Below are 26,627 nucleotides of genomic sequence, written 5' to 3'. Positions count from 1 at the left end.
AAGAGTTTTTATTTTAAAACTACATCTATCTCATCTGCTTAAGAGGGTCAACTCACATTCCTTTTCTTTCCCTGGATTAGGAAGGAGAAATTGAAAACAAAAAAAGTATTTCAGGAATAATCAAATAAGACTTTACTGGAGACAGAGGCCAGGAATGATGGAGAACACCAAGAAGAAATGATTTTAATGCCTATGAGGCTGAGAAAAGGAATTGGGAACTTCCAAGAAATATATTACTTAAATTAGAAAAAATGCACTGTGTAATCCATGCCCTTTCTTTTCATTTTCCTAAATTTTACTTTATTCATTAAGTTCATGTGTGAGTGAAATTTAATTTAAGGGAACTCAAAGAAGAGTACAATGAGATAACTAACATAAAGATATTAAATGAAGGGGCATTTACATTTTAATAGGAGAAATTAAGTCTCTGCCCCAATCCTACTGTATAGTTGTCAAACAAATACATAATTGGGTTTAAAATGATTGGCCTGTCTGAGACAGTGACATGACCCAGCCAGGCTCTGACCAAAATTTTCTGAATTTTGAAGTTGCCTTAGGAGTGTAGCTTACAATTTCACCAACACACTTATCTGAATCTAGAGTATTGGCACTAACTGCAGTTTAAAGAACAAAGTACCAGGAAAGTTTGGACATGTGAGCTTCATTTTGTATTTCACTACTGAATACAAATTAATGAATTGAAAACCTGTATCAGCAAAACAGTAACATATTGTTTTAATGCTGTTATTTTTGGCACTGAACACTTTCCACATACACATTTGATTTACAAATTTCAACTTTCATTTTTTGCTAAAATATGTTACCTTTATTAAATGTTGGAGATTTTTAACCTACTCATTCTAAAAAATACTGTATTTCTTGAAGTTAGTATCATACCTTAGGCACTAGATCTGCACATTCTAGGTGATCAAGGTAGATTCCTCATGAGTCTACCTAGTGAAGTATGTAGTTTATCAGATAACACGTTTTTCAAAATAACACAAATAATTTCATAACTTCAACATGTGATGGTGTTTGTTATTTTAACATTCTTACTTGCCAATAAATTGATAATACTTCACTGGTCTCTCGATTTTTTTTTTTTTTTTTTGGCCCATGAAGTATAAACATTTGGAAACCACTGGAACTAGGATGTAAGAATAGCTCAAGGAACTAGAGAAAAAGGGGAATCTTAGTCATGAGGGAATGAAAGAAACTGCATTTAGAAGGCAAGAATGTTGTAATCAGAATAGATATTTTTAGGGTTCAAGATCTAAATGATAGAATAGTTCTGGCAGTGACATCTTTAATATACGACTAAGTAAACGAGCTGCTGAAGCACACGGGAGATAACTATTATTTGCTGTGGATGTGTTATGTATTTAATCACTACTACAGATAAATGAGACATACTATTATTATCATTCTACAAGCAAAGAAAATAAGGCAAGAAGAGGTTAAGAAACTTGTCCAAGGTCACATAGCTACAACGCAGTCTGTATTCAGATATCAGTCTTTTCAACTTCTATGCTCTATTCTCTCCAGTGAAAAAGATGCTTCAAATAATAGAAACCAAAGTAGAGTGAGACTAGGGAAATAGATGCATCATCAAGATGATAGCTTAGAAAAAGACTATTAACCAAGTTGAAAGATCTACAATAAATACCAATCAATATATAAGAAGCTTGTTGGAGTTTATTGGCCACTAGTAAGCAATATAAACTGAATTTAAATCAGAGACCTCCAGAATACGATGTCAGATTTTCCCAAGGGCCAATGAGGTTAATTTTTTCCTTTTGCATTTCCCAGAAGTAATTAAATTCAGTTACCTATCATCACTGAGAAATACGTTTCAAAATGTAGTTTTACTTTCTTTGTGATAGTAATACCTCCTTAGCAAGAAAGTTATCAACTCTTAATTTCACTCCCACTACGAAATAGAAAAAAAAATTCAATTTTTCCTGTCAGGGAGGAACTTTATAACTTTTGTAAATTTTTAAATCTAGCTGTATTACTTTGGTTAATCTCTCCTAGGAGATGATATCTAGAATCAATTGGAATACAGTGTATAAGACACATAAATCAGTCTATAATCATCATATAGAATAAATATTTATAATTCTTTGAGATCCAAAAGTCCAATCAAGTTATCATTTTTACAATGGCATATCTCTTAGTTATTCATCAAACACTATAATCTTTAACTGTCATGAAGCCACAACATGTCCTCTTCCTGTTCACCATTATCACATTCTACTTTTTCTACATTTCTCACATCAGTTCAACATAGCAAGCTTAGACACTTTCCTAAACAATTGGCCACATTGGGATGACATATCAATCATCATTATTTAAAACTTACTTTTAGTATTGAGAGTAGTGAGGAAATTTCCTTTTGGTAAGTCAATAATTTCTGCCTAACATGCAAAACGTATTAATTTCCTAACTTTAATTTTAAAATATTTTCACTAATTCATCATACACATATGTAGTTATATACGTGTGTTTAATATATTTCATGAAACAACATATATGCAGAAAATTCCATAAATGGCTGAATGAAATACAGTGTATTATAAAGCCACACCCATATAAATACCTCCTAGATCAAGAGACAGAACTAATATCAGCATTTTGCAAATTCTTTTTGAAATAATACACCTAGATAATAATAATCAATGACTGCTAAACTTACTGAGAGACAAATGGATGTTACATTCTTTCTAACAGAAGTAAACAACATCATCTATGAAGTATTCCCTCCTCGACCCCCAACTCCTGATCCAAATGGAATCTGAAATACATCAAACTCTAGGGGGAGAATACTCTAACTTCCAGTTACAAGAAATACAGCAGACAGAGGAACATATTCAACAACACCAGAGAGATGTAATAAGCAAATAAGACTGTAAAAAACACCATAGGACAAAAGGCCTAGTTTCTTCTAATAACAAAAACAAAATGTAAAAGAAAAGGTAAAGGAAGGAAATGGGAGCTTAAAGATGAAAAGAGACTTAAGTATAGAGCAACCATATACATTTTCACCCAACACAGGATATTTCAGAAACAGAAAAGGGATGCTATTGAAAATGGGATTCTGGACAATCTAGAATGCACAGTCACCCCACTCAAGAGGAATAGCAGCCAAATATAAGATGTGATACATTTTGTGGATACTGATTTGAACAAACCAACTGTTGAAATAATTGGGAATATCAGTAAACACTGATATTTTACCCAGTGAACACTGGGTAACTAATGATGTTATGAAATTAATATTAAGCTTCTGGATGTGATAATGGTTTTATGAATGCATGTTTTTAATATCTTATCTTTTATAGATACATAAAAATATTTACCCATAAAATAATATGATGTGTGAGATTTTGCTCCAAAATGATCCATGTTATGGGTATAAGAGTAATAGGATAGTAGAGATGAAATAAGATAGGCCATAAATTGATCATTTTGAAACGGGTGGTAAGCATATGGAAGTTTATCAAATTGTTTTATTTGCTTTTATTTATGTTTGAATTTCTCCATAATTGTTCACCTTGATATTTAGTTTATTAAAAAAATCAGTACCTTAGACTTCTCCCGTATGCCCACTCCCAATCACACCACTCTTGTTCTTCTGTAACCACCATTCTAATTTTATGATTATTACATCCTGCTTTTTTTGTACTTTTACCGAGATGTACTCATTACTAAACATAACTCAGTATTATGTTCCATATATGCTTATATATGGAAGTATGCAGTGCATATTATTTTGTGTATGTTTAAATATACATTACATAGATTATATAATGTTGTTGGATATCACTCCAGGATTGTCATTTTCGTTGCTGTATTAGATCTCATTGTATTAACTACACTATATATATTCTCCAATCATTGTAGGATGATTGGACATTTGGATCCTTTGTAGTTATTAACTGTTACAAACAACATGCGGGCACATGTGCAAATATTTCTAAGAGGTTTGTATCCTGGAATGGAATTACTAGGTCAAAGTGTATGCATATCTTCAACTTCGGTAGATGATCTCAGTTTACCAAATTGGTTGTTTCAATTCATATTTCCACTAGGTAGATAGGAGAATTTGAATGGCTAACGGTATTATTCTGATTCTTAATGTTCATCATTCTGATGGGTGTATAGTGGCGTCTTACTATACTTTAATTTGAACTAGCAGTTAAGTACCTTTCCCCTTTGTTCATTGGCCATTTTTATATATCTTTGGTAAAAGGCCTGTTCACAAGACATCCATTTTTTTAAAGGATTGTAATTTTTTTTCTTATAGAGGGTTTAAAAAAAATTAGGATATAAGCATTTTTTCAGTTACAGTGTTTAGAAGTAAATACTTCCACTCTGTGAGCCATCTTTTCACTCTTTAATAAGAACATTGATTGATAAGCAGAACTCTTAATTTTCATATTGTTTTGGTTTGAGTCTCTCCAAAAACCAAGACAAACACCTGTGTACAGGTAGTCTAAGCGGAAAATGATCCTATGAAACAGAGATGAAGGAATAGGGAGAATTCAGGCAGAAATAAAAGCCAATATAAAGGTTGTTGTTGACATTACTGTTGGAAGTAGGGCTTCATTCTGGCAGAAACTCCTGTGAATTGTACAGAATGCCTCTCAGCGCAGTCTGTCTGAAAGACAGGAGATGGAAGCATTTTTCCCATTTCTCGCCTTGCTGTTTGAGATTATGCTTAGGGGTCTTAATCCCACACTCCAAGGCTGTGTTTTCACACTAGCCAAGAGAGTCACTGGTGCTGCTAAATTTAAGCCATGGAACATAAACCATGTAACTTGAGGAGAGATGCTGTCAGAGGTGAGTCTGAGTCAGCACAGAACTCTCTAACCACTAGCTATGTTTAAAATTAGAGATGAGTCAAGGGAATGTGACATCGGCACTGGTGACAACAACTAAAAAGTAGTCCAATTTATTAATATTTTCCTTTATAGTTAATGCATTTTATGTACTGCTTAAAAAACATTTCCTATCCCGAGATTATGAAGACATTCTCCTATATCATTTTTAAAGCATTATTTTTTTGCCTTGACATTTGAGTGTGTAGCCCTAACTGGAATTATTTTTTATTAGGGTTTGATGTAAGGTCAAGTTTCACTTTTTTCCATATTAGTATTCAGTTCTCTCTGTATCATTTAATTGAAAAGATAAAATTTTCCCCACAGTGTCACCTCTGCATTAGTCTAGTACCCATATATGCATGGCTGTGGGTGGTGGTCTAAAGATGATAGCAAATCCTTTGTCACTCTTGCTATTGAGAGGCAGAATATATTTCCACTCCTCTTGAATATGCGCTAACTCTGCAACCTTAGTTGATCATCAGAATGTGGCAAAAGTGATGCTGCATGACTTCCAAGACTAAATCTTAAGAAATGGCTAGTATCCGCTTTTGTGTGCTTGGAACACTCCCTCTGGGAACCCAGCTGTCATCTTATGAGAGGTCCAAGCCACATGGAGAAGACAAATGAGGGAGATCTGAGGTGTTGTCATCAACAAATCTAACAATCTCCCAGCCAACAGCCAGAACCAAATGGCAGACATGTGAACAAGCCATCTAGAAAGTTCCATACCTATTAAGATACAGAAAGACTACCGCTCCAGCTGACACCATATGAAGCAAAAGAACCATCTTACCAAGTCTACAGAATCATGAGGGAAAACAAATGATTGTGAGTTTAAGCCACTAAGTTTTGGGATGGTTTCTTATGTAGATATAGATAATCAAAACAATATGTTTCTGGGCTCTCTGTTCTGCTCCACTGGTCCATTTGTCTATTTTTGTCACACTGTGTTAATTCCTGTAGCTTTATAGTAAGATGTAATATCTGGTGGAGCAAGTCTTCCTGCATTCTTCTTCACCAAGATTGCCTTGTCTATTTTGACACTGAAGTTTTATGTAGATTTTATTACTAGCTTTCAAGTTTAAAAAAAAATCTGTTGGGATTTTGAATTGAATTCATAAATAAATTTGGGGGGAATTAATAATTTTACAATATCGAATCTTTCAATCATGCTACAATTCTCCATTTATTTAGGACTTCTTTAGTGTCTATCAATAATATTTTATGGTTTCTGTATAGGTCTTCTACATGTTTTGTTAGATATGTATCTAGTCATTTAATACTTTTATGTTACTGAAAAATATATTATAAATTGTATTTTACCTGACTGTTGCTGGTATATAGGAATACAATTGATTTCTTATGTTACTCACTCTTATATTCAGCAACCATGTTAAATTTACATATTAATCCTGAAAATATTTCTGTAGATTTTTTATTTGATTTGTACCCAATCATATCAGATTCAATAAAATGTTTACTCTTTTAAAACCTATTTCCTTTATTAATTTATCTATTTATTTTCCTTATTATAAGTACATTACAACATTGAATAGATGTGAGGATAGCAGTATTCTTGTATCACTCTTAATCTCAGACAAAAGGATTCTAACGTTTCACTATTAGGTATAATTTTCCTGTAAAGCTTTTTAATTTCATGTCTGGTTAAGAACTAAGAATATATACATAAATGGATGTTGACATATCACATGGTTTTGCTCACTCTGCTGAGATTATCATGCGATTTTTCTCTTTATTTTTAAATTAATTACATTAATTGATGTTTAAATGTTAAATCAACCTTGAATTTCTGGAATAAATCCTACTCAGTCCTGGTGTCATACTTTTTATATACTGCTGGATAAAATGTACTAATATTTTCTTTAAGATAAATTATACCATGAATTATACTATAAATATCATAGTGAATTTATCTGTTTTTGGTATCAAAGTTAAAGATACCATGGCATGTGCTTCTGGCTTCCAGTGTTTCTGTTGACAAGCAAGATGTCAGTCTAATTAATGCTTCTTTGGGGTAATTTTTTAAAATGGCATTTAAAAAGTAATCACGGCCGGGTGCAGTGGCTCACACCTGTAATCCCAGCATTTTGGGAGGCCAAGGCGGGTGGATCACCTGAGGTCGGGAGTTCAAGACCAGCCTGACCAACATAGAGAAACCCTGTCTCTACTAAAAATACAAAATTAGCCGGGCATGGTGGGACATGCCTATAATTCCAGCTACTCAGGAGGCTGAGGCAGGAGAATTGCTTGAACACGGGAGGCAGAGGTTGTGGTGAGCCAAGATCACACCATTGCACTCCAGCCTGTGCAACAAGAGTGAAACTCCATCTCAAAAAAAGAAAAAAAAAGTAATCACAACAACTAGAACTTGAGGGCATTTGGGTGAGCCAGACATTCTCTACTTATTTTCCCCTTAAGACATTTTCAGATTTGCAGCACAGGCCACAGAGGCAGAGTAGCAAGTGATATCCTAATGGTCTAGAGCTTTCTTCAGTCTCCAGGATGTGCAGAAACAAAAAACTAGAGTGTGGAAATGTGGGGGTTCAGTCAGGATGGTGGGAAAAATTGTAAAATTATAGGAAATAAACACAAACCTTCTTGGAAGGCCTGGGGGTTTGCATAGCTTCAGTAAAATGTTTGGCTGAAGGCAGCTGAATTCTCTTAAAAGCTCAGGATGTAGATACAGAGGAATGTAGAGGAGTTTATCTAAATAACTTGTTTACTCATGTGGTCCTAAAACTAACCTTTCATCATTTGCGCGCAGGATGGCTCTCTTGGTGGGAGGGCAACCAGGTTAATTACCCTCTAATAGTGTTGACTCAAAGCCTTTGTCATTTAATGTGTGCTGAATAAATGCCAGCAGGGCCAGCGAGTCAGGGCCGTGGTTGCAACTCTTTACAGCACCCTCCTTGGTGTCTGCAAGTGGCCCGTACCCTCAACCAGACTGAGAGGCAAAATGTCTGTGTCAGTGTACATTATTCATCCATCATTGGGTCAAGGTCTGCGGGACAGACCCCCACATGGAAATACCAAAGCAGCCAGGACTTAACGGTCTGAGATCCTGAAGAAGGGGATTACTGCAAAGAAATGAGCCCAACATTCTGCACTTCTTTTCTCCTTGAGGCACTTGCTGAATCTTAAGTTCAAATCAGTATCTGACCTTTACCTTTCCTGCAACCTCTTTTCAAATCACTTTCTCTCTGTGATCCAGCCATAATAGCTACCCCTCACTCTCCTTTCTGGTTTCCTCAGTGCACTGTTCTCCCTTTCTCTCTCACCACAAGAAGATTATTTGTTCTGCTCCAGTTAGATGGAATTATTATTTTCTATTCACCCTTAAAGTTATCTCCATAGCCACACAGAAATTGTAGGACAGGTCTAAGACACTGGCAAGAGGACATATAGATAGAAGGCTCCCAAGGTCACCCTGAGGGAAATGAAAATAAGAGATAAAGAGAGAAAGGATCTCTTACATGACAATTAGAGGAGGCATCTGCGTGGACTGATAAGTGACTTAATGAGAAGAGAAAAAATATGTTTTGTACTATCTGCTGGATTCAAGTGTACATAAACAACAATTCATAACTTTCTAGTGTTGTACTGTATCTACACTTCTCCCTAAATACTGTAAACATAAGTAACAACCTATAAATCCTCAGGGAGGCTTTCCTGATAGATCCTCTCCACTCACCTTTCCCACCCAGATTAGGCCTGCCTCTTCATGATGGATAAATTTTCTTAGCACAGAATTCCCATTTTCTGTAGCATTTATCTTAGTTTATAATTCTATATTTATCAGTGTTATTATTTGGTTATTGTGTCTCCATCACTAGGCTGTCCATGAGGCAAGACCCACGTAGGTTTCTCCCTATATTGTATTCACAGTGCCTAGTATTGTGCCAGACACCTAATAAATATTCACATATCTGCCAAATAGATGAGGAAGCTGGTATTCACTTGACAGAATGTCAGCATCTACAGGGTGAAAAGCCTGGCTAAGTTAGATTGTTTTAAACATTATGGCCTGTAAATAAGGATATGGTACCTTATTAGTGCCATAAAAAATAAAATCATTTTGGGCAAATTTTATACAATTTGAAGCACTCAACTTATTAAACTACCTATGCAATCTTTAATAGACAATTAATGAGCGCTCTTCATATACAGTCATAAAAAATACTTCATCTATGGCCTCAAGGCCTTATTGAGCAAGATAAGGAATAAACAGTACTCTATATCATAGAAGTATGCAGTGAACAGGAAAAAGCATGGGCTTTCCTGGAGTGGATCTGGACTCGTATCCCACCTCCGTTTCTTACCATCTATGTGACAATGGAGAGTAATTTAACATTTCTGAGTATTTTATGTAAGATGAAGATAGCATTTATCTCATGGGGTTGTAATGATTACATAAAGAAATGCAATCTTCTTAGCACAGAGTTGGTACACAATAAATGCTGTGAAGCTGGTATAATTGCAGACAGAATCTGAACTTTCTAATCAGGAGACCCAAGTCAGCACTCCTGCTTGAAAATTTGTTACTGATTGACCAAGAGAAAGTTAGTTCATGAGACTCAATTTTATGAGACTCGATTCTTCTATCAGTAAATGGGCATGATAATACGAATAAATAACCTACAATTAAAATTTATCTGTAAAGTGCCTACTAAATTTTTTGGCAGAAAGTTGGCTTCAATAAACTATATGAATAAGGAGGAAGGGAAAGGAGAGAGAGAGAAGATGTTAGGTTTGAGGTATCATATGTCGACACACAATGGAAATATATAGTAGACAATGGGAAAATGTGTGTCAATAATTCAGGCAACAGGTTTAATTGAATATATGGAGTTAGATCAACAAAAGTAATTTTTCCTATTATTTTCTTTCAATACACATTATTTATTTTCTCCAAGGCATTTATCACAATTTGTAATCGCATATTTATTTGTTTACTGGAACCTTATCTCTTACAAATTGGTTTTTATGAGGGAGGAGTTATAACTGCTTTTTACTCCACATAGAGCACATAATAAGGGCTCAGCAATTATTGTTAACTGAGAACTATCAACTGAAAATCTGTATCTATAAAAGACAGGTCAGTCAGTCAGTGCTCAGTGGTGGAAAAGAAGAGCTATTAGAACACTGAAATTCTAATAGAAATGAATACTGTTCATTAAGTTAATTACAGTTATTTTAACTTAATAAAACTGGTGAAAATATTTTAAAAGTTTAAATTAAAATGATATCCCCATGAGCTGATGCCAATATGAACAACATTTATGTTAACAACATTGTCTGATGTGTAGTAAATGAACAATAAATATTATTGAATGAATGACAAATTTATGAAACCAATTGTAGTCCATGTGTAATGATTTTATTAAAAGCCAATTTTTAAGATGCATTGTAAGTCATAAGAAATATTTCAAAATGTACCAGTTAACCAAGGAAAATAAAACAGAGAGAATGAGTAGAGAAAAATGCAAGAATTACAACTATTGTCAAACATAGCATTAGTTGCAAAGTTCATTTTGTCTTATAGCCACATATAGCATCAGAAAGAAAAAGAAGTTTAAATCAGGAATCCTTAGGAAAGTTTTCAACATGTCACCAAAACAACAGATGGTATCCAATAGAAATAGTGATAAGAACCAACTGAAAAATAACATCAGAAAAAAGCAAAAGAAAGAAAAGGGGAAAAAATACTCTAGCCTAGAGAATAAAATAGGCCCACAAAATGTTAATATGTAAAAAAAAAAAAGAAGCCAACCAATGAAACTTTTTATCAAAACAGCATAAATCCTGCCAAGAAAAAAAACTATAAAAAATTTTGGTTAGAGGACCAACAAAATTATTTTAGTTTTCTTTAATCAACAAATTAGATAACATAATGTATGTGGATTTTCATATCTTAAGAAAACTTACATACCAATAAGAAATCTCTGGTTTTAAAACATGTTGGAGGGAGGTAGAACACATACAAATATATAATCAATAAAATAATGAGAGATAAAATAAAATAGTTTCTTTTTAAGTACTAAATCAATACCTAATTAAATAATTTGGAAATAATAGGAGCAAAAATTGCGTAAAGGATCTTTTGGATTTCTTCTCCATATACCGATTAAGAAAATTGTCCCAAGGAATTGAAAAATTTTACCGATGATAAAATTATAAAAATGTATGGAAAAGGAAAATTAATTCAATATAGCATGATTTTTAAATGAAATTATCTTCTCCTTATAAGGAGTCTAATATATACCGAGTAACATGCTAGGCACTTGGGGGATGGGGAAGAATAAGTCAGATATGTTTCCTGCCCTTGTAAGTTTACAGTCTAATGAAACAGGAAGTTAATAGACAAACACATTAAAAAATAACAGATTGTGTTACATGCCATCAAAATAGGAATAGAGTACTATAAGACAGCTAGGGGAGCCCTGAAGCCTTTTAGGATATTATAAATTGCCTGGAGAAATTAACAGCTTGGAATACAGCAGTGAAAATAGACATGCAGAGAAAATATATAGAAGTATTTTTGCACTGGGATTTACTGCTTTTTAAAAATAGATTGAATGCGGGAAGAAAATGTAAAGAAAAAATTCAAGGATGAGTTAGCAACTTGTTAGATGACTTTAGTCATTTACTACAATGAGGGACAACTGGACATAGGAATCTAGAGCATGGAGAAGCTGTAAGGATGGAAGACTTAATCTTTTTTTTTTTTTTTATTTGAGACAGAGTCTTGCTCTGTCACCCAGGCTGGAGTGCAGTGGCGCGATCTTGGCTCACTGAGACCTTTGCCTCCCAGGTTCACGCCATTCTCCTGCCTCAGCCTCCTGAGTAGCTGGGACTACAGGCGCCCGCCACCACGCTCGGCTAATTTTTTTTGTATTTTTAGTAGAGACAGGGTTTCACCGTGTTAGCTAGGATGGTCTCAATCTCCTGACCTCGTGATCCGCCCGCCTCGGTCTCCCACAGTGCTAGGATTACAGGCTTGAGCCACCGGGCCTGGCTGGAAGACTTAATCTTACTGTGCCATCAATATATATTTTAAATTATTAGTGGTTGCGTTTCCTGGGAAGAAAGCATAGAAAAGGAACACAGATTCAAAATCAAATCCAGAGGAATTCCCACATGTAGTGATAGAAGTGGAAAAAACTAGGCAAACACAAGGGAAAAGAGGTAGAAGAAAATGAAGAGAGTAACTCTTTTGTGGCTTCTTGCAAGAATCGGCCCAATTTTTAAAAGGAAGGAGTGGTCAGTTGAGCCAAATGCTGCTCAGAATACGCTAAGCTCACTCCCACCAGCTACAACCCACTCCTCCTGCCACTTTCAGCCTGACTCAAGAATAAGATAAATCTCTAAGTATGTTTCAAATTTATCAAACATAAATAGGTCCCAAGTATGTGGGCCTTAAAAAACAGTAAGACTCACATATAGAAGGACAATGTGAATGAATAAAAAATTGCCAATTTTCAGCTATAGATAGTAATCTGGGATAATTTAAATTAAATGAACATTTTACTACATGCCAAAGTAAACTTCAGAGAGTTGTTAAATGTTTTTTATACATTGATGAAAAGTGAATAGAAAAGAGAATAGAATATCAGATCTACGAAAGAATAACTTTCTCAGATTTGAAGCAAAGAAAAAATAATGAAGGAAAAGATCAACAGATTTTAATATACATTCACTTAGAACTCCCAATCAATGAAAATCAGTAACTCAGATAAAAAGCACGTGTAGGAGAAAATATTCTGAAGTTGTAATGGTTGTATTTACTGAGACTTTACTGGATCAGTCACAAGCAGGTAACAATTAATTTATTATTTCCCACCACTTTTCCTGATTGATCAGATTTCAAAGCTATTTGCAGTCACTTGCAGAAAGTAAAAGTTCGATTCAGTCTAATATCAAAACTACAGATCATCAGCTAATGACATTCTTCTTCCCTCCTCCAGTTTTGGCCTGCCCTGGACTCAGAAACCCACAGGAAGGAAAAGAATATAAGCAGCTTCTTCACATTTTCTTCACTCCACCTCTTTGTAACTACTCTCTAGCTGCTATTTTGGTCCCTCTAGAGTTGGGTCTGCAGGAGTAAATTAAGAGAAAGGGACAGTGTACTATGGCTAATGAGCTGTCTCTGACATCAGGACTGCTTGTTTTTTTCCCAGGGCATTTTGGGAAACTTCTTGGTTCATTGAAAGCAGAGGATGTCATCTTATGCTGGCTTTTAAGACAAACTTCCTCAGTCCCCTACCTTCTGAGGCTTCACAGTATGGATATTCTATCTATTGGAAAGTTTCCCCCAACCCAGAAGACTTGTTTCTCCTGAAGGTGAATCTTCCAGAGCAGAATCTCTTTCAAGATAATACAGTTGGCTTCCCTTCATCCAGTTCATTTGGTCTGCTGGAAAACTCAAGCATCTTAGCTCCCCCTGTGGGTAATTCAGCTAGTTCTTCTACATTCACAGGATCTAACCAGCCAAGCTGTCACTTTGGGACTGCTCAGGCCTGGGTTGGGTAGCAGTTCCTGTTTCCCTTAAATTTCAGGGGACATAAGACACTTCCCCTCTCAAAGTAGATTTCTTAAAGCTTCTCCAGCTTTGCTGGAGGGGGAGAAATATCCCTTCTGCTACTCCATGAGGAATGAGAGAGGGAATGCCACAACACACACACACAACTCACTCTCCATTTCTCTTTTACCCCAAGATAGCCTTTGTAACTGGCCTGTTGTGTATAATGTTGTTTTCACAGTACTCTGAGACCATGAGAAAATGCACAGTTAGCATGCTGCTTCATTGTTAGGGTTGGAGTGGGTCCTTTTACATTGCTGGTAGCAATTGTATATCAGTACAACCTTTTAGAAAGAATTGCAAGGCCTAGTAATTCTGCTGGAAATACTACTCAAAAAAACCATGAAAAGGTCTATGCATATAGATGTCCACCGTAGTATTCATTGTCTAAAGCAGTTCCCAGATCACAAATGTCTGCTAATGCTAAATCATAAGGAGAAGTTTGTTTTCTCAGAAACTTACATTAACAAGTATTTTACTCACCCTTTCTTACTTTTAACTTTTGCTTGTGAGGACCCTCACTCTTCCCCACTAGTCTTGACTTCCTAATCTTATTTTCATCGTTGTAGGTCCAAATTTTGTTGGAACTTTGTTACATGAGACACGATTTTGTTAGTTCTCTCAAGCAACTTATGGACAACAGCAGTTACAAAAGAAAGAATGAATGAGGAAACCCCTGCAAGAACACTCAACTGTCCAAAAAGAATAGTGAAACTGCCTGAGGCAGCAGTCACTGTCAATCAAAGACATCACATTGCCCTACCCAGACCACCATAACAATTTAATCAGAATCTGTAGGGGTGAGCTGAGGCTTCATAATTTCTTTAACCCCTCCCATGGGTGATCCTAATGTGTAGCCAAATTTGAGAATCACCATTATAGAGATTATCATCTAGAGAAAAGAAGAGACAGGCAAAAGAGCACATGAATAATATATGTATTATAGAGCCAATCAAAATTTTAAAAGATGAAGAACAGATAGAAAAACATGGTATAACCTCTAAACATAGCATACAAAGGCCTTTATCATCTCATCTCTACTTACACTATCCTATTTGTTGCTCCTTTCGTGGTCCTTCCCATCCTGTGTTAGAACCACACTAACCTTCTCAGGTACCTAAACATGCTAGGCCCTCTTGGGCTCAGCCTGATTTCCTTCTTGATCTACCTAGATCATTCCTTCTCCCAGCTAACAGATGAGGTGCATTCCCCTACAAATGGCCTCTCTGACAACAGAACAAGACTCCGTCTCAAAAAAAAAAAAAAAAAAAAAGGCCTCCCTGACCATCCAGGCTGACCTGGATGCCTATGTATATCATAGCACTTCCTGCTCAAAACAGGTCATGTCACACTGTATTGTAACTGTTAGTTAATTTATATTTCAGTTTTTATCACTTTGAAAGCAGGAACACTGTCTTCATTTCATCTCTGAATCCTAATATCTATCAATGTGACTCGCACAGAGGAAGTGTTCAATAAATGTTGGGTTGAATTTTTTAATGCACATAATATAAATAATCATCAAATACAAAATTGTAACTATGAAAACATTTTTGGATTGGAGAATTATATATTAGAAGAAGGAGGAAAAGAAAAAATGAGTGACAGAGAAAGAAAACAAAGAAAGCAAAGAAGAAAGAGAAAGGAGGAGAGAGGGAGGGAGGACAAGATGGAGGGAGGAAGGCAAGAAAAAAAACTAATACAGAATACCTTGTAATTGACAATAATTATAATTTCATTTAATTCACACAGAATTCTCTGGGGTAAATACTATTTTTCTTATCTCACAGATGATTAAACTGAGGTCAAGAGAATTAAATCATTTATTCAACTTTGGAAAGTTTATAAGTACTATATTCAGGTTTTGAATCAAGGTTTATAAGATCAAAAATAGCTATCATTTTCAGAACTAAAATAGTTATTTTTTAACCTTGATTTAAGAGAAATGTTTCATGGGCTGGAGGCTACAAGCAGGGTGAAGTACCAGCAGATAAGAAAGTCAACACAGGTCTATCTTCTATAATGCTCAAAAGTAAATCCACTCACATACAAATCCACAGTTGCAGTCCTTGTGGAGAAAATTCAGCAAAACCGTATTACTGAAAAAGTATCACAGTGATTAGTTATTTTCTGCATTTACCATTCTATGTTTAAGCTGCCATTAAAAGTCTATCACATTCGACATTGTTTAACAGAATTTCTTTGCTAGGGTGTTATTAATACATAACCATTCTGCAGATTAGATTTTCAGGACCAAAGCTGAATTTCCTCAACTTCCTAAGACTAACTTCATCAAAATTGAAACAAAATAGGTGGTATCTATATCTCTGTGCTTATGGTTTGTGATAGCCTACAAACAAAAGGAAGTTGTGAGATTTCATTACACGTGTTAGCAATAAGAAACCAACAAAAGAAGCTATTTTAAATACACAAGCAAAATCTATAATATATAACCATAAGTATTAAGAAAGATGCTTTGAGAAATAGAAGAGGACACACAAAAATATGAAAAGATATGCCATGTTCAAGGATTGGAAGAATCAATATTGTTAAAATGTCCATACTACCCAAAGCAATCTACAGATTTCATGAAATCTCTATCTAAATATCAATGACATTCTTCACAGAAATAGAAAAAAAAATCCTAAAATTTATATGGAACCACAAAATACCCAGACTAGACAAAACTATCTTAAGCAGAAAGAACAAAACTGGAGGAATCACATTCTCTCACTTCAAATTTTACTACAGAGCTATGGTATTTGAAACGACATGGTAATGGCATAAAAACAAACACATAAACCAGTGGAACTGAATAGAGATCCCAGAAATAAATCCATACATTTATGGTGAGCTCATTTTTGACAAAGGTGCCAAGAACATACATTGAGGAAAGGACAGTCTCTTCAATAAATGGTGCTGGGAAAACTGGGTATCCAAAGGCAGAAGAATGAAAATAGACCCCTATGTCTCATCATATAAAGAAACCAAACCAAAACGGATTAAAATGGATTAAAGGCTTAAAGCTAAGACCTCAAACTATGAAACCACTTAAAAAAAAAAAAAAAAAACATTGGGGAAACTCTCCAAGACATCGGTCTGGGCAAAGACTTCTTAAGTAATATCCCACAAGCACAGGCAACCAAAGCAAAAATGGACAGATTAGATCACATCAAGCTAAAAAACTTCTGCACAGAAAAGGATATAATCAACAAAGTGAAGAGACAACCCACAGAATGGGAGAAAATATTTGCTAACTACTCATCTGAAAAGGGATTCCTAATCAGAATATATAAGAAGCTCAAACAACTCTAATGAAAAAATTTTGATAATCTAATTTTTTAAATTGGCAAAAAAATCTGAATAGGTATTTCTCAAAAGAAGACATACAAATGGCAAACAGGTATATGAAAAGGTGCTCAACATCACTGGTCATCAAAGAAATGTAGATCAAAACTATGAGACATTATCTCACTCCAGTTAAAATGGTTTTTATCCAAAGCCAGGCAGTGACAAATGGTGACAAGGATGTGGAGAAAAAGGAACCTTTATATACTGTTGGTGGGAATGTAAATTAGTACAACCACTATGGAGAACAGTTTGGAAGTTCCTCAAAAAACTAAAAATAGAGCTACCATATAATCCAGCAACTCCATTCCAAGGTATATACCCAAAAGAAAGGAAATCAGTATATCAAAGAGATAACTTCACTTCCATGTTTATTGCAGCACTATTCACAATAGCCAAGACTGAATCAACCTAAGTGTCCATCAACAGATGAAAGGATAAAGAAAATGTAGTATATATACACAATGGAGTACTATTCAGCCAAAAAAATGAATGAGATCCCGTCATTTGCAATAACATGGATGGAACTGGAGGTCATTATGCTACATGAAATAAGCCCACCACAGAAAAACAAACATTGCATGGTCTCACTTATTTGTGACAGCTAAAAATTAAAACAATTGAACTCATGGAGATAGAGAGTAAAAGGATGGTTACTAGAGGCTGGGAAGGGTAATGGGTAGAGGGGATGCGCAAGGGGGTAGGGATGGTTAATGGGTACAAATAAATTGTTAGGGTGAATAAGACCTAGTATTTGCTAGCAAAATGGGGTAACTATTTTAGCAAATAATTTAATTGTACATTTTAAAATAACTAAAAGAGAATAGTTGAATTACTTGAAACACAAAGGGTAAATATTTGAGGTGATGGATACCCCATTTACCCTGATGTGATTATTATGCATTACATATCTGTACCAAAATATCTCATGTAACTCATAAATGTGAACACATACTGTGCACCCACAAAAATTAAAAATTTTAAAAAAAACCTTTTCTTAAAAAAAAAAAGATGTCTTGAAAATTAAGGGTAAACACCTGATAGGCACAGAGAGTACAAAGCTGAATTCACTCACATTCCATTTTCTCTGGAATCCCAAAACCTGCTAAAGACAGGAGATTTCAAAAATAAGCACAAGACCCTTCATTTCTTAATTTTATTGGAGGAAACTGAGGCTCAATACATAAGCCTATTGCCCAAGCATTCATGACTACAGGTAGACCAGCCAGCATTCAGCTCATTAAGAGCCAATCCCATCTTTATACTAAACTATAGTGTATCTCTCCATATTCATTTCTCTTTTTTTATTATTATACTTTAAGTTCTAGGGTACATGTGCACAATGTGCAGGTTTGTTACATAGGTATACTTGTACCATGTTGGTTTGTTGTACCCATCAAATCGTCATTTACATTAGGTATATCTCCTAATGCTATCCTTCCCCCAGCTCCCCTTCCCCCCGACAGGCCCAGGTGTGTGATGTTCCCCGCCCTGTGTCCAAGTGTTCTCATTGTTCAATTTCCACCTATGAGTGAGAACATGCAGTGTTTGCCATTTCTCTAGCCTTACAAAATCACAGCCCAAAACTCCTAAATATATCTGCTCTGTTTATTTTATTCCTTTTCCTCCTTTGGTCAAAAGAGAGTTTTCTTAAATCTGTATTTTGTTTTTATTTCTTGTAACGTACAGTTTCTAGAAATGTTGTCATATTTCTCCTTATATTTTAGTCATACAATATAAACTTATATAAATATATATAAAATATATATAATCAACAAGTTTACGCAGAACACTGTGTAAAACTATTATACTGGATTACTTATAATAGCAAATTTTTGCATTGAGATAAACAGCTCACTATTATTATGGAACATTGACTTAGGTAACATGAGTAAATGAGGAAATAGACATACTTCTTGATATTGGAAACATAATGTTAGTGGATAAAAAAGGCAAAGGAAAAAAATGATTAAAGAGATAGTAAAAATGTATCTAACTATTCCCAGTGATTTATAATATCTTTACCCTGACATATAACATCTCGGGCACTAATAGAACTTGCAAGTGAAATTATTGAACCACAGCTGGCAATATTTAAGCATATTCTCACTCATAGGTGGGAATTGAACAATGAGATCACATGGACACAGGAAGGGGAATATCACACTCTGGGGACTGTGGTGGGGTCGGGGGAGGGGGGAGGGATAGCATTGGGAGATATACCTAATGCTAGATGACACGTTAGTGGGTGCAGTGCACCAGCATGGCACATGTATACATATGTAACTAACCTGCACAATGTGCACATGTACCCTAAAACTTAGAGTATAATAAAAAAAAAAAATTAAAGAAAATCTAAATAAATGGAAAAATTTTTCATTGAAAAAAAAAAAAAAAAGAAAATGGTCAAAAGCTGGAGAATGTTCTTGGAAGCAATGGGGAAGGAAGTAGAACTGTCTACCAAGAGAGTGTTCAAGTTTCTCAAACTCAAATGCCTCTAGGGGCAGACGAGTAGTGTAAATGAGGGAGGCGGGCAAGCAGGGAATGTGGTAAACTGAGAACACAGGCTCTGTCTAGAATAAGCAGCACTAGTCCATTTCAGTTAATTGTCAACATGAGGGAATGTGGGAATTAATTAACAGATCTTATAATTTTTCAAGAGCAGTAAAAAAATCCACAATTTTTATGTAAATATTGTCATCATATTGAAAAAGTACAAAAAAAATAGATCAGATGACAAAATTCTGCCTATGCTGAATTCAGATGTGAGCCACCAAGTTATAGAGGTCTGCTGTTTCTTCTAGTTGGAAATGAGAAATAAGCTATCCTTCAGATTTCTAAAGTTGGCATACAATAAAATGAATCAGAGATATACAAAGTCATCTTAAAGAAAAGGAAAGGCTCCCAGGCAACAGCAAGTCTTGACTGAATTAATGAATATATCCCAAAAAAGACTTGTTGATTCAAAGATGCTTGGTATGTCTGAACACAGAAAATCACAGTCTGATTCTAAAACACAGGAAAAAGTTTTCTGGTTCACGGACTTGAATAATTCATTCCTAAACTAAGGTGTCCAGCTTGAGGAGATTGTTGCAGCTGCCTTCTGCCATTAAATGCTTGGTTTAATTTCATATATACCAAGCTAATCTTCTAAGTAAAATGTAATGTTCTGTAAATCTATATGCAGGACACCAGTCTCCACGAAAGGGAAGCATCATTATAAATTGACAAGATGATAGTTCAGTTTGTACATCTCTCTCCAGTAAGACTTGTTAAAGGAAGTGTACCCCTGAGAAACAGACCCATTCACAGGATGCTCAAAGCTAAACAACCGAATCTAGATTTTGGTAAATTCACTAAGGCATACCCTCTGAGTTGTCTTGGTGGACACTAGAGTAAGACTTTTTCCTAGATCTACTCAAATTTACCACTCACCAATTTTTTAATTTCATTATTACAAAAAAACTAAAACTGTTGTTGAAGTGTTCCAACAGGGGGAAAAAAAGAGGCCAAGAGATTCTACAAACAAAAGAATGGTGAGTTTAACATCAACCTCAAGCACAATTCCAGGAAGAAATGATGGTTTGTAAATATTTTAGAGAAATAACAACATGCATTTAGTAAGTATAATTTTAAAAATAATAATAAACTCACTGACTGAAACATTTGAGAAATATGGTAGACAAAGTGTACCTAAATTTGAGAAATACTGACTACCAAAGAATCCTCATTAGAGATTTTTAACCATTCTTCTTCATTCCTTACTTGGATAAACATAAAGAATTTTTATGACATTTTCAGATCACAAGACTACATAAAGAAATATAATGGATGATTTAAGTGAGAGCAAGAATGGAATAAGTCAAAGTTATAGGTATTTGTCTTAAATCTAAAATTATTCTTTCCAGTTCTTCAAACCAAATGCCTAAAATAGCATAAATTATCAAAATATATGTATAATTGAGAAATTTAAAACCTGTGAATATTTGATGGCAATAAGATCAAACTGAGTAAATACCGTAATTAATGGAATCTTAGCTCAATAAAACTGAATTTTTTTCATATAGGAAAAGGATGATAATTAGTCACTATTCTCTGTGAAGTCAAACCATGTCCAGATCTATATTTAGGCCCAAATACCCTTTCTTAAAAGGCAGAAAGGCTTATGGAACTCATTTGGAAGAAAGGAAACAAGATAATGAAGGGCAACCAAACCAAGTTATGTGAAGAACAACAGAAGGTACTGAGGATATTGGTCTGTCAGATGGAGAAAATCAAACATAAGTAAGACTCATCTAATATCTAAAGATATCATAAGGACACAATGTGGATTTGTATACTATGGTCACAAGGAATTAGAACTTGGAACATGGTAGAAGTTTCAGAAAAACATATTTTAGCTCACTGTAAGGAAGGATTTTTCCATAGGGAGAGTTGCCAATGGACAAAATGGACTGCCCCAGGACGCAAGAGGATACTCCTCCTTGAATATATGTGTGTGGGTGCTGAATAACTATTTAGTGCAACTGTTACAGATGGGTTTCAAAAATTGAACGGCTCATTGGATTTGGCCAGTGGTTTTTTAAAAAAAAAACTTTTCTAAGGAACTTGGTGCCTGAGGGATTTCCTCATACATATGAATATAATTTAATTTTGAAAATACTTGTTCAGGCCAGGCATGGTGGCTTACGCCTGTAATCCCATCCCGGCACGTTGGGAGGCCGAGGCAGGCGGATCAAGAGATCGAGGTCAGGAGATCGAGACCATCCTGGCTAACACGGTGAAACCCTGTCTCTACTAAAAATACAAAATCAAAATTAGCAGGGCATGGTGGCAGGCGCCTGTAGTCCCAGCTACTTGGGAGGCTGAGGTGGGAGAATGGAGTGAACCCAGGAGGCGCAGCTTGCAGTGAGCCGAGATGGCGCCATTGCACTCCATCCTGGGTGACAGAGGGAGACTCTGTCTCCAAAAAAAAAAAAAAAGAAAAAAGAAAATACTTGTTCATCTGTTTTCACAATTTTGGCTTTATAAACACACTGAAATGCGTTAAATATAAATATTTTCCATATACCAGTGTGTTTTTCTGTGCCACCAGCCATCCCATTTGGGTGATATTCTGGCAGGTGTTTTCCCCAGTAAGTAGGTGCCACACATTCGGCTAACTGCTAGAACCGCCATGGTGTATCGCTGCAGCACGTGCTCTCTGACAGCCATAGTTGCACAATAACAAGGGAACATACAATAAATCGTGTCCTGAAAACATAGAGCTTATTTTAGTGCTTATTTGGAGTTCTTGGTGCTTTGACTGGGTAAAGAATGAGATCTGTTTTTAGTTACAGTTACCAATTTAATCTTGAACCCAAAATTCCCTCTCGCTACTGTTTCAAGCTTATGTATCTGTTCACTAAAGAGAATAAAGACATTGTGAGGCACTCCTTTAAAGGACAGTTATCATTTGCATCTCCTTATCTGTGTGACTCAGGATATTCCCCTTGCTTTAAAACCAAGTCATGATGTAGAACTAAATTATACATTGAGGCAGCCAGAGGACAGTAACCAACACATATACTCTTCAGTTTCACATGTGTGATCATCAGGTGGTATTAGACTCACTGACTGATTTTATAATAAGAAAATCATTGTAAATCTGAACATTTATGATATTTTAGGCTGGTAAAATGTCATTTTATCTGTTTAAATGCTGTAGATTCTGAATAAAATTTTATATCTAAAATGAGTTTTCTGGTGTTTAAAAATGTATAGAAACCACTTGCATAATCATTAAGTTACCTTAAAACCTGCAGGCCTATAATTTTATGTGATGTAATATTGATTGTAAGATAACTCTAGTTTGTCTTTACTAAGACTTATAAATGATTTTCTAAAAAGGATAGCCCTAACTTAATTCAAACAGTAACACAGTGTTCCAATACTCTAAGAAGAGAGATAATATTTTTAAATGCGTCTCTATGCTTATAAATCCCCATTTCTCTTCATTTATACTTAAATTCACAACATGTAGCTCATTGAATTTTACCCTGCCCATTATGTAAATTATAAATGAGGTATAATTTAAACCTAAATTTATTTTGTTCTAATCAATTACACTATGTGTTTTAGTTTAGTTTAACAGACATAATGTGAAAGCAAGACTGTGACTACCTAACTTCAGTAAAATTAAATTGTCTCAACCTTCTATTAAAAGGTAGTACATAGTATTTTTAGAAAGACAATAAAGGAATATAGGATCTGAAAATGAATAAAGCTATGAAGGAAGGTTTACTTCACCTTGTGGAAACTGATGGATAGGAAGTCGACTTATTTGACCAAGCTGACTTTGGCTGTCAAGAAATTTCCTGTTCTATACGGCAATCTGGCCCAGGCCTCAGAGTCATCAGAATAAAATCTGAGAGCCATTTCACAGGAGAATCAAATAAGATTTGGAATGAAAATTTCATTGCAAAGCAAGAAAAATTCACAATAATTTTCTATAATACAAGACTTTTTTAGCACTTTTATTGTTGAAGCAATTCTAAATAACAGCGTTTCTTATAATAGCATTTTTATAATAATGGTGTTTTGTATCAGAAGTGCTATTATTACAGAAATGGCATTATAATAGTGGCATTATTATTGCTGAATCTCTCCTATAACGGAAGTGCTAAACAAGCCTATCTATATTAAAGAAATTTCAAATTTCTTCCTCCTCAGAACTAAAAGTGCATTGGCCAGTCACTTTCATATGATCACATTGTGAGTAATCTTATATACCTTGGCCCAACATTGAAATATATGTCCATTTCACACAAAGACTCCTAGGAAATCTGACAGTGAACTAGGAGTCAAAAGACTTGAGTTGTATTACCGAATCTAGCATTAACTACTGAATTACCTTAAGCATGCTGTGACTCTCCTCTGAGCCTTTTCCTCTCATCCAAAAAAAAAAAAAAGAGGTCCTTTATAACTCTTAGTGTAAACCTTTCCTTTACTAACTGCTCATTTGGTTCCAAATCCTAATAGAATCAATTACCTATCTTACTTCTTTGTTTTAAACTCATTGATATGCTATTTTTAATCAGTTGCATTTATTTTATTAGAATAAATCTAAATTCTCAAGTTAGAAGATAAATAAAGGTAAAAATTCATTTTGAAAAAAAAAATCTTCCCTTAAATCGTCAGCATAGAGCTCTGAATACAGTGGATAATTTTAAATTTTTAATTAAAATGCATCTGATAACAACATTCCAAAAATCCAAGCAAAATCAGAAAATAACAGGCTTTCATTCTGAAGCTAGCAGAATACTATTCAGGAAACTGAAACATTTTCAAGTTGAAGTAAAGCAATAAAATATTGAAATAATGTTGGAAGTGATAAAAAGATATAATGTACAATAATAGTTACAGTTCAAGAAATTGCCTCAAAAGAAATCTTACATCCACACAAAGTATATTACTATAAATTTCACTTCTCATTCAATAAAGTATATATTGCTTTGCCATATATTTAGAGTATTCATCAAAAGAATTTTATATATGAAAGATGAATAACTAAATTTAAGTTTATAAAATTCTACTTTTCATTAAAGATATCTTGTAATCCTTTGATGATGAGCTTCCAGGAAAGAAAAGAAGACAGGAAAGATTTTAAGTTCCAAAGCTACTGACCTTTTTAGCATTAAAATAAAATCCTATATATTTCCAGGTTCATACAATTAGATTACACCATCTAGTTAGGACATAGTTTGAGAAACAGTAAAGTTAGGAAATTCAATATATTCATATCCTCTGTAGGCATTTCTGCATTTTTTGACTGTCATGAATGCATTGAGTGTATATGCTGGTAAAATGAACATATTATTGACTGCAAGCAGAGAAGTTTTTTTTTAGAATAAATACATATACACACATGTACATGTGTAGACACACAAACACACACACATATATATACATATCAGACACACATACATTGCATTGCTGGCAAATAAGAGTTATCTTTGGGGCAATGACCATACCATAGTTATTCACCATGATAAATGAAAGCCTTCAAGAGCTATAATTTTTAAAACGTAGGCAAAAAAAAAAGTAGCTATAGCATTTTTAACCCAAGAAGAACAGCAAGAAAAAGAACAAAAAAGAAAGAGTAGGAAGGAGAGGAAGAGGACATATGATTATTTCTGATAAATTACTAAGAGATGGACTTAAGGCAGGGGCTTACTAGGTGCCACTCTAACTGACAAGTATACACATTCCCGCACATATCTATTCAATCTTGATGAGAATGGTACTTACTTTTCAAAGTATTGAGGTCCAGTCTTCAGTGAGACATTTAGTTTTCCTCTGTTCTGAGTGGGATTGAGGTGGAAGATTGACTAAACATCTGCCTGTGTGCCAGCTCCTGTTTTAGCAGTTTGACATGTGCTATTTTATTTAATCCTTACTGCTCTCAGAGTAATAATAAATATTATTATTATCCAGTAAGAAAAATGATGTTCAGAGAAGTGAAGCCACCTGTCCACAGTCACCCAGAGGCCATGCAACAGCTTCCTAATACTAATCAGTCAACCTACATAGGTGTATTGATCAAGAGGTGGGAGAGACTAGCAAAGAATGCATGAATCTGGGCAGAGGCATCCTAACTATGGAAGAGCTCCTCTAAATGCCAGGTGGAGCTGACCCACATAGCATCAAAAAGAAAAGAGATTTTAAACATCACCAAACACAATTCCTTTATTTAGTAGATGAGAACACTAAGTACAAGAAAGATAACCTACCCAAAGTCTGAGCACAGATTTGAATTTTGGGCTCCGGACAATTTCTATCTCTGTCCCCTACGGTACAGTAGCTCTTCATGGACAATACGTGTTATCATTTGAACTAGTCCTATCTGTTGATTAGATCACACTAGACAGAAAGCTGGTCTTGTAGTCTTTTAACAGCAAATAATAATATTAAATTGAGAAAACTGTTGCAGGAGGCACTCAGTAGTATCATCTTACAACATTAAGAAAGTCACCTGACCACAACAGCCTCAGGCGCTCGTGTCTCAGGTAAACCAATACAGCTCCTCCTTCAAAAGCATATTGCACTATTATCTAGTACAGGAATTCCAACCTGTTTTGTGCCATGACCCTCTTCTCAGATAGTGTTTTTAAATGCATGAAAGGGTATATCTATAAGACTACATTGAAAGCCAAATATATTAACATTTCAATTTCAAAATAGTTTTAAAAGATATGATTTTATTGTTGTTTACTTCATTTTTTTTAACTTTTATCTAAACTTCAGGGGTACATGTGCAGGTTTATTACATAGGTAAACTTGTGTGATGAGGGTTTGTTGTACAGATTATTTCATCACCCAGTTATTAAGCCTAGTATCCATTAGTTATTTTTCCTAATCCTCTCCCTCTTCCCACCCTCCACCCTCTGATAGGCCCCAGTATGTGTTATTCCCCTCTATGCGTCCAAATGTTCTCATCATTTAGCTCCCACTTATAAGTGAGACCATGTGGTATTTGGTTTTCTGTTTTGTGTTAGTTTGCTAAGGATAATGGCCTCCATCGCCATCCATGTCCCTGAAAAGGACATGATCTCACTCTTTCCTATGGCTACATAGTATTTAGTGGTGTATATGTACCACAATTTCTTTATCCAGTCTATCACTGATGGGCATTTAGGTTGATTCATGTCTTTACTATTGTGAATTGTGTTGCAATGAATATATACATGCATGTGTCATTATAACAGAATGATTTAATGGTATTTCTGTCTTTAGGTCTTTGAGGAATTGCCACACTG

At 34.9% G+C, this 26,627-nt stretch overlaps 1 long non-coding RNA gene across 1 annotated transcript in view, besides 2 other annotated features; it reads right to left on the bottom strand.

Moving 5' to 3' along the window:
• LOC101927314 (uncharacterized) overlaps positions 1-26,627 on the bottom strand; it is a 403,332-nt gene that overhangs the window by 109,023 nt on the left and 267,682 nt on the right. The gene's annotated exons all lie outside the window — the stretch shown is intronic.
• Positions 7,237-7,744: an enhancer, noted in NCBI's record as "OCT4-NANOG hESC enhancer chr6:98040027-98040534 (GRCh37/hg19 assembly coordinates)". NCBI's record gives its function as "activates a minimal SCP1, AML or CMV promoter by ChIP-STARR-seq in naive H9 embryonic stem cells {active_cell/tissue: H9 hESC(naive)}" and the evidence as "EXISTENCE:reporter gene assay evidence [ECO:0000049][PMID:30033119]".
• Positions 7,745-8,254: an enhancer, noted in NCBI's record as "OCT4-NANOG hESC enhancer chr6:98039517-98040026 (GRCh37/hg19 assembly coordinates)". NCBI's record gives its function as "activates a minimal SCP1, AML or CMV promoter by ChIP-STARR-seq in naive H9 embryonic stem cells {active_cell/tissue: H9 hESC(naive)}" and the evidence as "EXISTENCE:reporter gene assay evidence [ECO:0000049][PMID:30033119]".

This window comes from Homo sapiens, chromosome 6 (assembly GCF_000001405.40).
Source record: "Homo sapiens chromosome 6, GRCh38.p14 Primary Assembly".
NCBI classification, from domain to species: domain Eukaryota; kingdom Metazoa; phylum Chordata; class Mammalia; order Primates; family Hominidae; genus Homo; species Homo sapiens.
This window is presented reverse-complemented; position numbering and strand designations above follow the sequence as displayed.